At 36.4% G+C, this 12819-nt stretch overlaps 1 long non-coding RNA gene across 1 annotated transcript in view; it reads left to right on the forward strand.

Annotated features, from left to right (window-relative positions):
• Positions 1-7991: 7991 nt before the first annotated feature.
• LINC01088 (long intergenic non-protein coding RNA 1088) overlaps positions 7992-12819 on the forward strand; it is a 337052-nt gene continuing 332224 nt past the window's right edge. The window contains exons 1-2 of the long non-coding RNA NR_038342.1: positions 7992-8120; positions 9244-9296. This is a non-coding gene — a long non-coding RNA (long intergenic non-protein coding RNA 1088). The remainder of the gene's footprint in view (positions 8121-9243; positions 9297-12819) is intronic.

The following is a 12819-nucleotide window of genomic DNA, read 5'->3' on the forward strand; positions in this document are numbered from 1 at the left end:
ATTCCCTTGGCAGGCTTGTTTCTCAGCCCATGCTGTCAGTGGTTTGACAGTGATACTTGCTGTCACTGGGCAGTAGCTACAGGGCAGTCAGGTTTACTGGCTACAATTCAGAATTTCTTACTCCTCCCATCACTTTTTTAGACTTTTGAAATTTTAATTCCAGTTTATGAATGCATAGTTGAAATTCACTCTGATGAAATTGCACAGTACTTGGTGTGGTGACTGACATCTTAAGTGGCCACCAGAAGAGCTAGATGACACAACTCAGAAGTGTGATGGTATTAATTCCCATGGAGCAATATTTGACTAATGGGAAACTGAAGATGGGAGGAAGAAAGCAAATACCTCTCTCCCCTTCTTACTCCTTCCCATGCACTATTCCAATTACAGATACACAAAGCTCATTTGAAGTCCTGTATGGCCAAGCAGGTGCTTTTACTGAGTGATTCACTATGCCTATTTATGGCTCATTGGGAAGCAGTGACCAGCAGGGTAATAGCATTTTACATGGCTTTCCATCCTTCTTTGCTACATCTCCCTTTCCCCCCCTGGTTCGTACAACCCAAAGAAAGCATCAACACTTAATTCTTGATTCAGGCTCTGTTTTCTAGAGAACCTAAGCTAAGGCCTTGAACTAGACCATCATGTCAAGGTGAAGATGATGAAACTGATGGTTAGGATTATGTCAACTAATACTTACTGATGACCACTGACTATGTATCAAGCAATGTATTGAGTGTTTTGAATTCATTTTATTTAATATTCATTACAACTCATGAACTGTGTAGTATTATTAGCTCATTATATAGATGTTTGAAAATTTGCCAGGATCACATAGGAAGTAAGTGGAGCCAGGATAGAAACCCAGATATTTCTGATATCATATCTTATCAGTTAAACCACTAAGTAACACAAATAAATTGCGGAATAGGTCACTGGGTGCCCAGTTTCAATGTGTGCCTGATACAGTGTACTTCACATAGCGTACATTCAATATGGAGTTTTGATTTAATAAATATTTTATTAGTTTTCTATTAATAATAGTCTGGTAATGTTGGGTGCAGTGGCTCAGGCCTATAATCGCAGCACTTTGGGAAGCAAAGGTGGGAGGATTGCTTGAGTCCAGGAGATCAAGACCAGCCTGGCCAACATAGACAGACCCTGTCTCTACAAAAAAAAATTTTTTAAATAACATTTTGGTAAACCTAGAGTTATGCTACTTAGGACTCATGGTTTGTCAATTAAAAAAATTAGAGTAAAAAAGCCATCTTTAACCATAAAACCTAAGTTAGAAGACTATTTAGAATTTTTGGGGGCTAGAGAGATACCATAAAATTATCTTTGTATATTGTTTGAAAATAGTTGATTTGAACCTGATGGATTTAGGATAAAGGCATATCTATTACAGTAGGAATGGTTTTTTGTTTTTGTTTTGTTTTGTTTTTAAAAAACCATCCTTGTTGCTTTATGGAGGCAGATGATTATGTAGAAAAGCAGTGAACTAAGAATAAGTGGACCTCAATTCAGCCCTTGAGTTTTTCATGAACAAGTTTATGATTTTGTGAAAGTCAGTCTGGGCTTGGGATTCAGATACAACATCTGTAAAATGCAAAATTGGTTGAAGAATATTTCCAGCTCTGACTAACATCTGTGATTTTCCTGAAGTTACTAGGACTTTCTATACAGATGGTATCTGAAGAGACAGTTGCAGCTACACTTTTGATGATAAGTTATGCTGTTTCCCTCTTCTAAGACTTCCCTTTATCTGTTACTTAGTTTGGCAGATTACATGTTCTTTAAGATTCATTTCAAATACCTTTTTTTTTGGTTTTTAAATTTGTGAACCTCCCTTGACATTCTTAGGCAATTTCCTACTTTTTACCCATAGGATAGCTTTATATACCGATGCTGTAATTTTTACTCCATCATTTTGTGATTATTTGTATATATGTTTCTCACTATACTATGGACATTTAAAAAACCACAACTAAGTATTTATTATACTTTAAGAAGGGAATCAATTGTGGTAGTGTTATAGAAGCTATATATATTTTTCCTAATGCCTTATGTGTTCATAGACTCTAAGTACAAACACTTTAATCATCAAATTCCACTTTTTGCCTCTAAAAATATACTAGCTCATGTGCACGAAGAGACTTGTGTAAGTTTCTTTATTGTAGCAGTGTTCGAATTATTTTACTAACTGGGACTACAGGCACATGCCACCATGCCTGGCTGGGTTTTTTTGTTTTGATTTTTTTTTTTTTTTTTTTTTGGTAGAGATGGGATTTCACCATCTTACCCAGGCTGGTCTTGAACTCCTGGGTTCAACTGATCTACCCACCTTGGCCTCCCAAAGTGCTGGAATTACAGGTGTGAGCCACTATGCATGGCCTGTTTTCATTTTAATAGCCCCAATGACATATAATTGACTGTATTACTTTACTACGACTGCTATAACAAAATACCACAGACTGAGTGGCTTAAACATACAGAAATGTATTTATTCACATTTCTGGAAGCTAAAATTCAGTTGAAGGTATCAGCAGGATTGAGTTCTTCTGAGGCCTCTCTCCTGGGCTTGCAGATGGTCACTTTCTTGCTATGTCCCTACATGGTCATCCTGTGGTCTGTGTCTTAATCTTCTCTTCTCTTCCAAAACAACAACAACAACAAAATTCCAGTTTTATTGGATAAGGGCCCACCAGTATGACCTTATTTTACCTCAGTTCTCTCTTGAAAGGTCTTATCTCGAAATATAGTAACAATCTGATGTAACGGTGGGTAAGACTTCAACATATGAATTTTGGAGGATACAATTAAGTTCATAACATTGACCTACCATAAAATGCACATAAAGGGTACAGTGTGATGTTCTGAGATATACATACATCTACAAAACTATCACAGTCAAGATAATGAATATGTCCATTGTCCTTTCATATTTTCCATGGCCTCTTTGTCATCCCTTCCTTTAGCCTTTCCCTACCTTCCTCAATTCCTATGCAATCATTAATCTGCTTTTGATCACTGTATATTAGTTTGTATTTTCTAGAATGTAATACACATGGAATCATATAGATTATACTCATTTTGTTATTCAGCCTAATTATTTTGAGGCTCAGCTATAATGTAGCACATACCAATAACTTACTCATTTTTGTTGCTGAGTAATATTCCATTGTATGGGTGTGCCATAGTTTCTTTATCCATTCATCTGTTTATGCACATTTGGGTTCTTTCTAGTTTGGGCCATTAAAAATAAAGCTGCTATGTACATTTGTGTACAGGTCTTATGTGGACATATTCTTTTATTTCTCTTGGGTAAATACCCAATAGTAAAATGGCTGGATTTTGTGGTAACCTTAAAAAAAAGTCTACTGTTTTTCAAAGTAGTTGTAGTATTTTATGATTTAATTTAATTTACAAATCTATATCTTAAATGACAAATAAAAATTGCATACATTTATGGTATACAATGTGATGTTTTGATATATGTATAGATTGTGGAATTATTACATCAAGCTTGTTAACATATCTATCACCTCACATGCTTATTTTTTTGTGGTAAGAACAGTTAAAATCTCTTTCCGCAATTTCAAGTTTAGATTATTATTAACTGTAGTCTCCATGTTGTGTAATCATTCTCCAAAATTTATTTCTCCTGTCTAACTGAAACTTTTTACTCTTTGACCAACATCTCCACATTGTCCCCACATTCACAAGCCCCTGGTAACCATCTTTCAATTCTCTGCTTCTATGAGTTCAACTCTTTTAGATTCCACATAAAAGTAAGATCATACAGTATTTGTCTTTCTGTGCATGGCTTATTACACTCAGCATAATATCCTCCAGATTTATCTATGTTGTCACAAATGATTAGATTTCATTTTTTATGGCTGAATGGCTGAATACTATTCCATTGTGTATATATACTACATTTTATTTATTCCCATTAATAGACACTTAGGTGGATTCCATGTCTTGAAATTGTGAATAATCTGCAATGAACATAGAAGTACAGATATCTCACTGACTTACTGATTTCATTTCCTTTGGATAAATACCCAGAAGTAGGATTGCTGGATCATATGGTTGTTTTATTTTTAATTTGTTGATTAACATCTATGCTGTTTCCTCCAATGACCATGGGTTATACTATTTTATAATTCTGCCATCAAGTGTATGAGAGTTCCAGTTCTCCTATATCTTTACCAATGCTTGGTATGGTCAATTTCTACTTATTTGTTTGTTTATTGATATTTAAAATTTTATCCATTTACCCAGGTATGAAGGGGCATCTCATTGTGGTTCCAATTTCCATTTCCATAATGACTAATGATGTTGAGACTCTTTTCATGTGTTTATTTGCCACTCATTATCTTTTTTGCTGAAGTGTCTGTTCAAATCTTTTGTCCTTTAAAACATTGGGTTATTTCTTTTGAATACAGTGATTCAATTTATTTTGAATCATTATGTATTCTGGATACTAGTTTTTTAAAAAATTATAGAAATCATTTGGAAATATATTCTTCCATCCTGTGGCTTATTTTCTTATTCTATTAGCAGTATCTTTTGAAGAACAGTACATTTAATTTTGATAAGGTCCAATTTGTCAGTTTGTTCTTTCGTAGATTATTTTTGTTATATCTGAAAAATCTGCCTATCATAAGGTCACAAAAGTTATTCTCCTATTTTAAAAAGAAGTTTTGTCATTTTATTTTCAGTTAAGTCAATGATTCATTTTAAGTTAATTTTTGCATGTGGCAAAATAAATAGATATATTAAGGGGCAGATTCAAGTTTCTTTTTTGCATGTGGATATCCAGTTGCTCCAGCATTGTTTTTGAAAAGACTATCCTTTCTTTCTCTATTAGATTTTCTTTGCATCCTTGTGGAAAACATTTGCTCATGTATGTGTGGGGGTGTCTTTCTTTCTTTCTTTCCTTTCTTTCTTTTCTTTTTTTTTTTTTTTTTTTGAGACAGAGTCTCTCCCTGTCACCCAGGCTGGAGTGCAGTGGCACAATCTTGGCTCACTGCAGCCTCCGCCTCCGGGGTTCAAGTGATTCTCCTCCCTCAGCTTCCTGAGTAGCTGAGATTACAGGCATGTGTCACCATGCCTGGCTAATTTTTCTTTTTTTGTATTTTTAGTAAAGATGGGGTTTCACCATTGGCCAGGCTGGTCTTGAACTCCTGACCTCAGATGATCCTCCCACCTCGGCCTCCCAAAGTGCTGGGATTACAGGCATGAGACACCTTGCCTGGCCAGGTCTGTTTCTTCATTGATCTACTGGTGTATGTTACAAGTACTACATTTATTTGATTACTTACAAGAAGTCTTGAATCAAATAGCGTTAACCCCCCAACTTGTTTGTTCTTTTTTAAAGTTGCTATTGTTTCTTGCCACTGAGCTAAAAAATAGTTGCTGTTGACTATTTTAGGTTCTTTGCATTTTCATATGTGTTTTGTCAATTTCTACAAAAGTCCTCCTGGGATTTTGATTGGAATTTGCTGGAATCTGTAGAATAATTTGGGAAGAAATGACATCTTTAAAATATTGAGTAATATTTTATATATTACTGGCTAATTAATATATCTATTTATTTTGTTTTTTCTTTATTTTTTCTCAACAATGTTTTAAGATTTCTGTTTATAGGTTTTCCACATCTTTTATGTACATTATCCCTATTTTATATATTTTTATGTTATCATTAGCGACATTTAAAACATTCAATTTCCAATAACTTGTTGCTAGTATATAGAAATTCAGTTGATTTTATATGCCAATCTTGTATCCCGAAATCTTGCTAAGCTTACTTATTAGTACAAGTAGCTTTGATTCTCGATTCCATCACATTTCTATACAAATGATCATATTGTCTGTGAATAAAGACAGTTTTATTTCTTCTTTTCTGATTTCTGTGCTTATTTATTTTTCTTTTCTTTTTTTATTGTACTAGCTGAAACTTCCAGGACAAAGTTGAATAGAAGTGTTGAGAGTAAAAATTCTTGTCTTGTTCTGGTCTTTTATCTTTCAGTATAATACATTTTCATAGGTGCTTTTTTTTGGTTGAGAAAATTCTCTTCAGTTTCTTTTTCACTGAGTCGTTTTATGAGGAATGGATGTTGGATTTTGCCAAATGGTTTGTTGTGCCTATTTTATGTGCCTATTATGTACATGTTGAATAATTTCTTTTTTCTTTTTTTTTTTTTTTTGAGACGGAGTCTCGTTCTGTCACCCAGGCTGGAGTGCAGTGGCATTATCTAGGCTCACTGCACACTCCACCTCCTGGGTTCATGCCATTCTCCTGCCTCAGCCTCCCGAGTAGCTGGGACTACAGGCGCCTGCCACCAGGCCTGGCTAATTTTTTGTATTTTTAGTAGAGATGGGGTTTCACCATGTTAGCCAGGATGGTCTCGAAATCCTGACCTTGTGATCCGCCTGCCTCAGCCTCCCAAAGTGCTGGGATTACAGGCGTGAGCCACCGCGCCCGGCCCTGAAGAATTTCTTTTAGCATTTCTTGTGTAGGTCTCCTGGAAAAAAAATCTGATTTGGGGAGAAGGGTATGAAAATGTCTTTATTTTTCATTTTTGTAGGATATAGGACTATGCTACAATTTTATGTAGAATCTATTTAGAATCCTATACAGAATTCCAGACTAACATGTTTCACTTTCAGCTCTTTAAAGATGTCATTCCATTGTTTTGGAGTAATTGTTTCTGAAGAGAAATTAGACATAATTTTTATCATTTTTTTCTTCCGTGTAATGTTTCTTTTTTCTCTGACTGCTTTTAAGATTTTTGTATCATCTTTGGCTATCAACAGAGTGAGTATGGTGTGCCTAGTTCTGTTTTTGTGTTTATCCTCTTTTGGGGTTACTATGATTCCTGATGCTGAGGTTTGATATTTTTAATCAATTTTGAGAAATTCTTGGCCATTATGTTTTCAAGGATTTCTTCTGACTCATTTTCTATCTCTCACAGATGCAATTACATATTTACTAGGCTACTTAATATTGTCCTAGAGATCATAGACTCAAGTTTTTCACTCATTCCCCCTTTTATTTATTTATTTATTTTTGGATAATTGACCTGTCCTCAGGTTTACTTCTGCTTTTTGCTGCTGCTAATAGGCTACTGTTGTGTTTTATGGCCTGTTAGACTCCTAATATGTATTCTCTTTTGATGACAGTGTATTTTAAAAACAAATTTTGACATTGCAGTTTGGTTTCTTTTCATACTTTTCATTACTCTGCTGAAATTCTCTATATATTCATGCATGCTCTCTACCTTTTCCACTGAATTATTTGACATATTTATCATAGTTATGCTGAAGTTACTCCCTGATAAATCTAACGTCTGTGCTTTCTAGAGTCTCAGCCTGTTGACTGTTTTCTCATTTGATTATTGCTCACATTTTTTCTCTTTGTGGGTCTCAAAATTTTTTACTCTATGTTGGATATTGTGAGAAAAATAGTAGAGATTGAGAAAATTAATATTTATTTACCCTAAAAAAGTGCATACTTTTTTTGTTAGACCTTTTCTTGGGAAAGTTGAGGAAATCTGTTGTATATTTGAGGTATGTGGGATTATTTCAGCTTTAGTTGGATTAGTTTACCACTGACTTCAAATGTTTTGAAAACAGAATAAGGTCTTTTCTATCACTAGGGCTTGTGATCTGAGCACTGGCAAGATTTCAGAGATCTCTGTGTGCTCCCAGACTGTTTTGGTTGCTAGGGAGTTCTTTTTCCTTTCCTGTTTCTGACTTTATTAATCTCAGGAGGTCTCTCTTCTTTTTGCTCTGCTGCTTCAAGCCTTTGGCATCCAGTGCCTTGTACTTAATGAAAGTTTGCAACACTCTGAGCAACTGTTCTCAGTTCTTCTGCCTTATTTCTGGCCTCCGTTGCAACTGTTTTGACCTAGTGAAGGCCTAGACTTTCTCAGACAGATTTCTTTTAACTCTTCTGCCCTGACTCCAGTCTTCACTGGGATGCTGCCTTGCACTTAGGGAAGGTTCACATGCCTCAAGGATCTCTCTCTCTCAGATTTCTTGACTTTCCCTCAGTCTTCAGTATAGTCCTCCTCTGTGCCTGGTGAAGACCTGTGGTAAAGTGCTGGCAGGTGAGTACAGCTTGATGGTGTGGATGGGTTCCTTGGGACTCCAGCATGTCAAGCTAGTTCACACACAGGTCTTAATAGTTGTCTAAGATTCATGTAGTTCCTCATTTTCTTTTCTGTGGTAGATTCTGTTTCCTGCTGCACCACCAGGGATGAAAAAATTCACTGGTCTCTTCTTTTATAGAACGGGATCATAACTATACAGATTTTAGTTAAGTTAGCTTTATTAGTATTCTCAGCTTTTTTAATGGGATAAAAAGCAATGATATTATGGATTATCTGACTTTTCCTTTAGTATTAGGTTTGCCCAATCATCTCCATGATTTCTAAATTCCAAACTTCTTGAATAAATAAAATTTAAAAGAAAACATTGTACTAAAGTCAAAAGAAGGGTTTTAAGGCATAGTTCTACTTTTTACTGTCCATGTATCCTTGGATAAACTACTTCTCTGAAATTGTATTGCTTGCTTTTTCAGCTTGTTGAGTCTTTCATAAATTTAAGGGTTGGAATATGTCTCTCAGACAGAAATTGATAGAGCTTTGCAAGTCTTCAGATGTATTCAAGTTTGGTAAACACTGGGTTAGGCCATGGATAAAAGATTGGTCTTTGTGTGTTCATAAGAAAACCTGGATAGGAAGCTCTTCTTCTTACAGAAAGCCTCGATTGAGAAGTAAAGCTGGGACTATTAGTCCGTGTTCTGCAGTGAAATAATGGTAGCCATGCATAGATTGATTTAAGATCTATGCATGTTAAGATACCTGTCTTAACACAGGTAATAGTCACATCAGGGAAAAGAGCAACAGGCAGAACTCTTGGCTTTGTGTAAGAGCCCAAGGAAAGGGCCTGAGAGAGTACACACTGTATCAAAGTGTAGTGTTAATGTGAGGTGTCGGGAAAAAGGTCTTGGGTGTGTGTGTGTCTGCATAATATATGTGTGGAAAACTCTCAGTGCTGGTCCTTTGAGATATGTCTGTGAAAACTCTTTCAATTAACAAAAATAACCAACATTAATTGAATACTTTTTATGTGCCAGTCACTGTTCCAAGTTCTCTACAAAAGGTAATTCTTTAGTCCTTATAGTAATACTGTAGTGGTGCTGATACTATTTTTATCTTCATTTTTCAGAGAGGAAGCTAAATCACGTAAAAATTAAGAAACAGCTCAGCGTTTCACAGCTAGTAAGTAACAGAGATGGGCTTGAGACCCAGATTGGCAGGATCCAGGTCTTGTGCTCATGACGACTCTGCTATGGTGCCTCCCTTGAAAGCATCTTAGTGCTTTCATTGTTGTTTTTGTTATTGTTATTCTTACTATTATTTTGTACCCCCTTGGTGGATAGTGGCTGTGAATTTGTAGTTGTTGGTGTGTTTCTTCTGGAGCGTAAGCTCCTTCCTCCTCTATTGTTAGCCAGAGTTTTTGTTACCTTTGAAATAATTGCTAAATCAACAAAACATCTGTTACATTGCTGCTGCTCGAATGGCTATCTTTTAGAATTAGCACTCTTCTTTCTGAATCTGATGCCACAGCCTTTTGAACTTAAGGTATTTGGATGTGTCAGTAAAGGGGCTGTGGTAGCTGTGGTGACAGCAACTCCAATGGTGGTGACCGTAGAGAATGTGGCAGAGCTGTGAATGAGATGAAGAGATTTAGTGATGGCAGAGGAAACTTTGGGATTTCACAACTTTCTTCCTCCAAAAACTATTTGAAAGCAGATATGAGGAGTGGGAAATACAGAAACAATTCCAGCCTTTGTGCACCTTACAGCATAATGAGTGATGCTCACAGCTGATAAATAATAATAGCAAATACCTGTATAGAACTTACTATGTACTGGACACTTTCCCAAATATTTTACATGCGTTATCTCACATGTTCCACTCAATAATCCCAGAAGATGGAACTCTGATCTCTAGTTTGCAGTTGAGGAAACTGAGGCAAAGCAAGGTTAAGGAGCTTGCTCAAGATCCCACAACCAGTAGGTGACAGAACTGATATTTGAACCTAGGAAGATTGGCTTGAGAATCTGACACTTAAACACTATCCTATTCTGCTAACAAATAATGAATCAGTTGGCAACTATGGTAAGAGCTACAGAGACAATGAGAAGATGAGGGGGATTGAGCTGAGTCTGGAGGGTTTGGGAAGACTTGCCTGATGAAGTGATGAGGAGTGATGAAAAAGTCAGCCAGGTGAAGGGGCTTGTGTATATGTACATGTGTGTGCCTGTGTTCCTCTGCCCATGCATGTGGCATGGTCAGGGAGACACATTTTTAGGACTTGTGTAACACATCTCTGTAAATAGCTTCAAAATAAAATATCAATTTGTGATTCTTGTAATGGAAATTTACTTCATACACAACTTTCAGGCACTGTTTTGTAGCATAATTCAAAGTGATGCTGTCTTTGTATACGGCTTTAAGACAGTTTTTGAGCACATATCTCTGCATGTCTGTGTCCTGCTTTGTGGGCAGTAAGAAGCTTGGGAATCCCGGAAAGCTGAATTCACATTCCAGCTTTTTAGCCGTGGTCATTGCTCAGTTATTTGGGGTTGTGTTCTCTGTTTGTTGATTAATAGAAAATGCATTAAAAGTGCATAAAATAGAAAAATTACCCCCAATCAGTGCAAACGTCCACATATCTGAAGGCTTCTGTTGCAGGTGCCTGGTAATCATCAGAACCCCTCTAGTGAGACCACCAGGTTATTTCTGGGCTCCATCCCAGAGTCAATGGTCCCTCAAAAAGGAAGCTTTTGTTTACTGTAAGCAAAACCAAATGGGATTAGGAGGGCCATGGATTCAAGAACTCTAAAGACAGGGTTGAGAAATTAAGTGAGAAGGAGAAGACAGAGGAAGATCTAAGCATTGAGATTACTCCTCTGCCCAACTTAGTTGTGTTCTAACATTTTTAAAAACGAGATTAACTGGGAAGCAAATAGAAATTAGACTATTTATTAGCAAGCCTTTAGCAGTTTCTCATCAAGTGACACATTTGGTGTTTAGTGTTCCTAATGAGTTGCACTAGGGTTATTTTTACACTTTTGGGCATCTGTGGAGTGGTAAATGTGTTCCTAAATATTAGATATAATTACAATAAAATATGTTTATATAAATTTACTTGCTACCAGATTCAGACTAGTTTTGTTTTAATCAGGGTTTAGAATTATACATGACTTTCATCTCTCTTCACCTTTATCATCATTAATCAAGAGCTGACTATATCAGATGTCTGCACTTGAGTGGACACACTGGATCTCTTTGAATTTTGGTTTTCGAATGATTTTAATCCTCTTTTTCTTTTTTTTTATTGTTTATTTTTAACATTGAGATTATTTATTAGTGACTACAAGTGGAAACAGAGCAGAGGTGTGCAACGCTCATCACCCAGATAACTAATTTGCCCTTTAAATTGCATATCTGCCTCTTTTTTTTTTGTTTGTTTCTTTTTTTTTTATTATTATACTTTAAGTTTTAGGGTACATGTGCACAATGTGCAGGTTAGTTACATATGTATACATGTGCCATGCTGGTGCGCTGCACCCACTAACTCATCATCTAGCATTAGGTATATCTCCCAATGCTATCCCTCCCCCTCTCCCCCCACCCCACCACAGTCCCCAGAGTGTGATATTCCCCTTCCTGTGTCCATGTGATCTCATTGTTCAATTCCCACCTATGAGTGAGAATATGTGGTGTTTGGTTTTTTGTTCTTGCGATAGTTTACTGAGAATGATGATTTCCAATTTCATCCATGTCCCTACAAAGGACATGAACTAATCCTCTTTTTCTTTCCTCCCTCCCTTCCTTCCTTCCCTTTTTACTTACTGCCTTCCTTTCTTCCTTCCTGGCAGTGGAGCAGAAGATAAGGAAACCAAGTCTGAGGTTTGCTACTCAGAGGCTGGTGAGCTTGACTTGATCTTTCTCCTCGATAGTTTTATTGCTGGTAAAATGAGACAATTCATTAAATAGATCCCCTAAGAGCCCTGCAAGTCATAAAAAGTCTACATTTTCATTTTACATGAAAATATTTGACAGTACTTTCAGTTAAACAGTTTCAGTTTTTGCCTGTTTAAAAGAAGGTTGTAGGCCTAGCTCTCCACCCCTCTAAACCCGAGAAAGGATTCCCACAAATACAGCTTCACCAAATTTATAGGCTCCCAGCTGAGTTAGCAGAAACCAGGCAGCTGAGTGGATGAGCTTCTATTAGCACAATGGTGTTTGGTTATGCAGCTGAGTGGATGAGCTTCTACTAGCACAATGGTGTTTGGTTATGCAGCTGCAGAACTGGGGAGAAAAGCTTGAGACAATATTTATGAGGTGCGACTGTGACCTGAACTTTACAACTAGTTATCCTGGAGAATGCAGGTAATTCTTTTTTATTTCCTTGGAAAAATAAATAGCTATGTAAGGTAGGCTGAAAAATGGCCCTGCAAAGATGTCCATTCTGAGATGTTCTAATCTCAGAATCTGCAAATATGTTAATCTACGTAACAAAAGGAACTTTGCAGATGTGATAAAGGGTGTGAGATGGGAGGTTATCTTTTATTTTATTTTATTTATTATTATTATTTTTTAATTATACTTTAAGTTTTAGGGTACATGTGCACAACGTGCAGGTTTGTTACATATGTATACATGTGCCATGTTGGTTTGCTGCACCCGGTAACTCGTCATTTAACATTAGGTATATCACCAAATGCCATAC

The sequence above is a fragment of the Homo sapiens genome, chromosome 4 (genome assembly GCF_000001405.40).
Source record: "Homo sapiens chromosome 4, GRCh38.p14 Primary Assembly".
Classification (NCBI taxonomy): domain Eukaryota; kingdom Metazoa; phylum Chordata; class Mammalia; order Primates; family Hominidae; genus Homo; species Homo sapiens.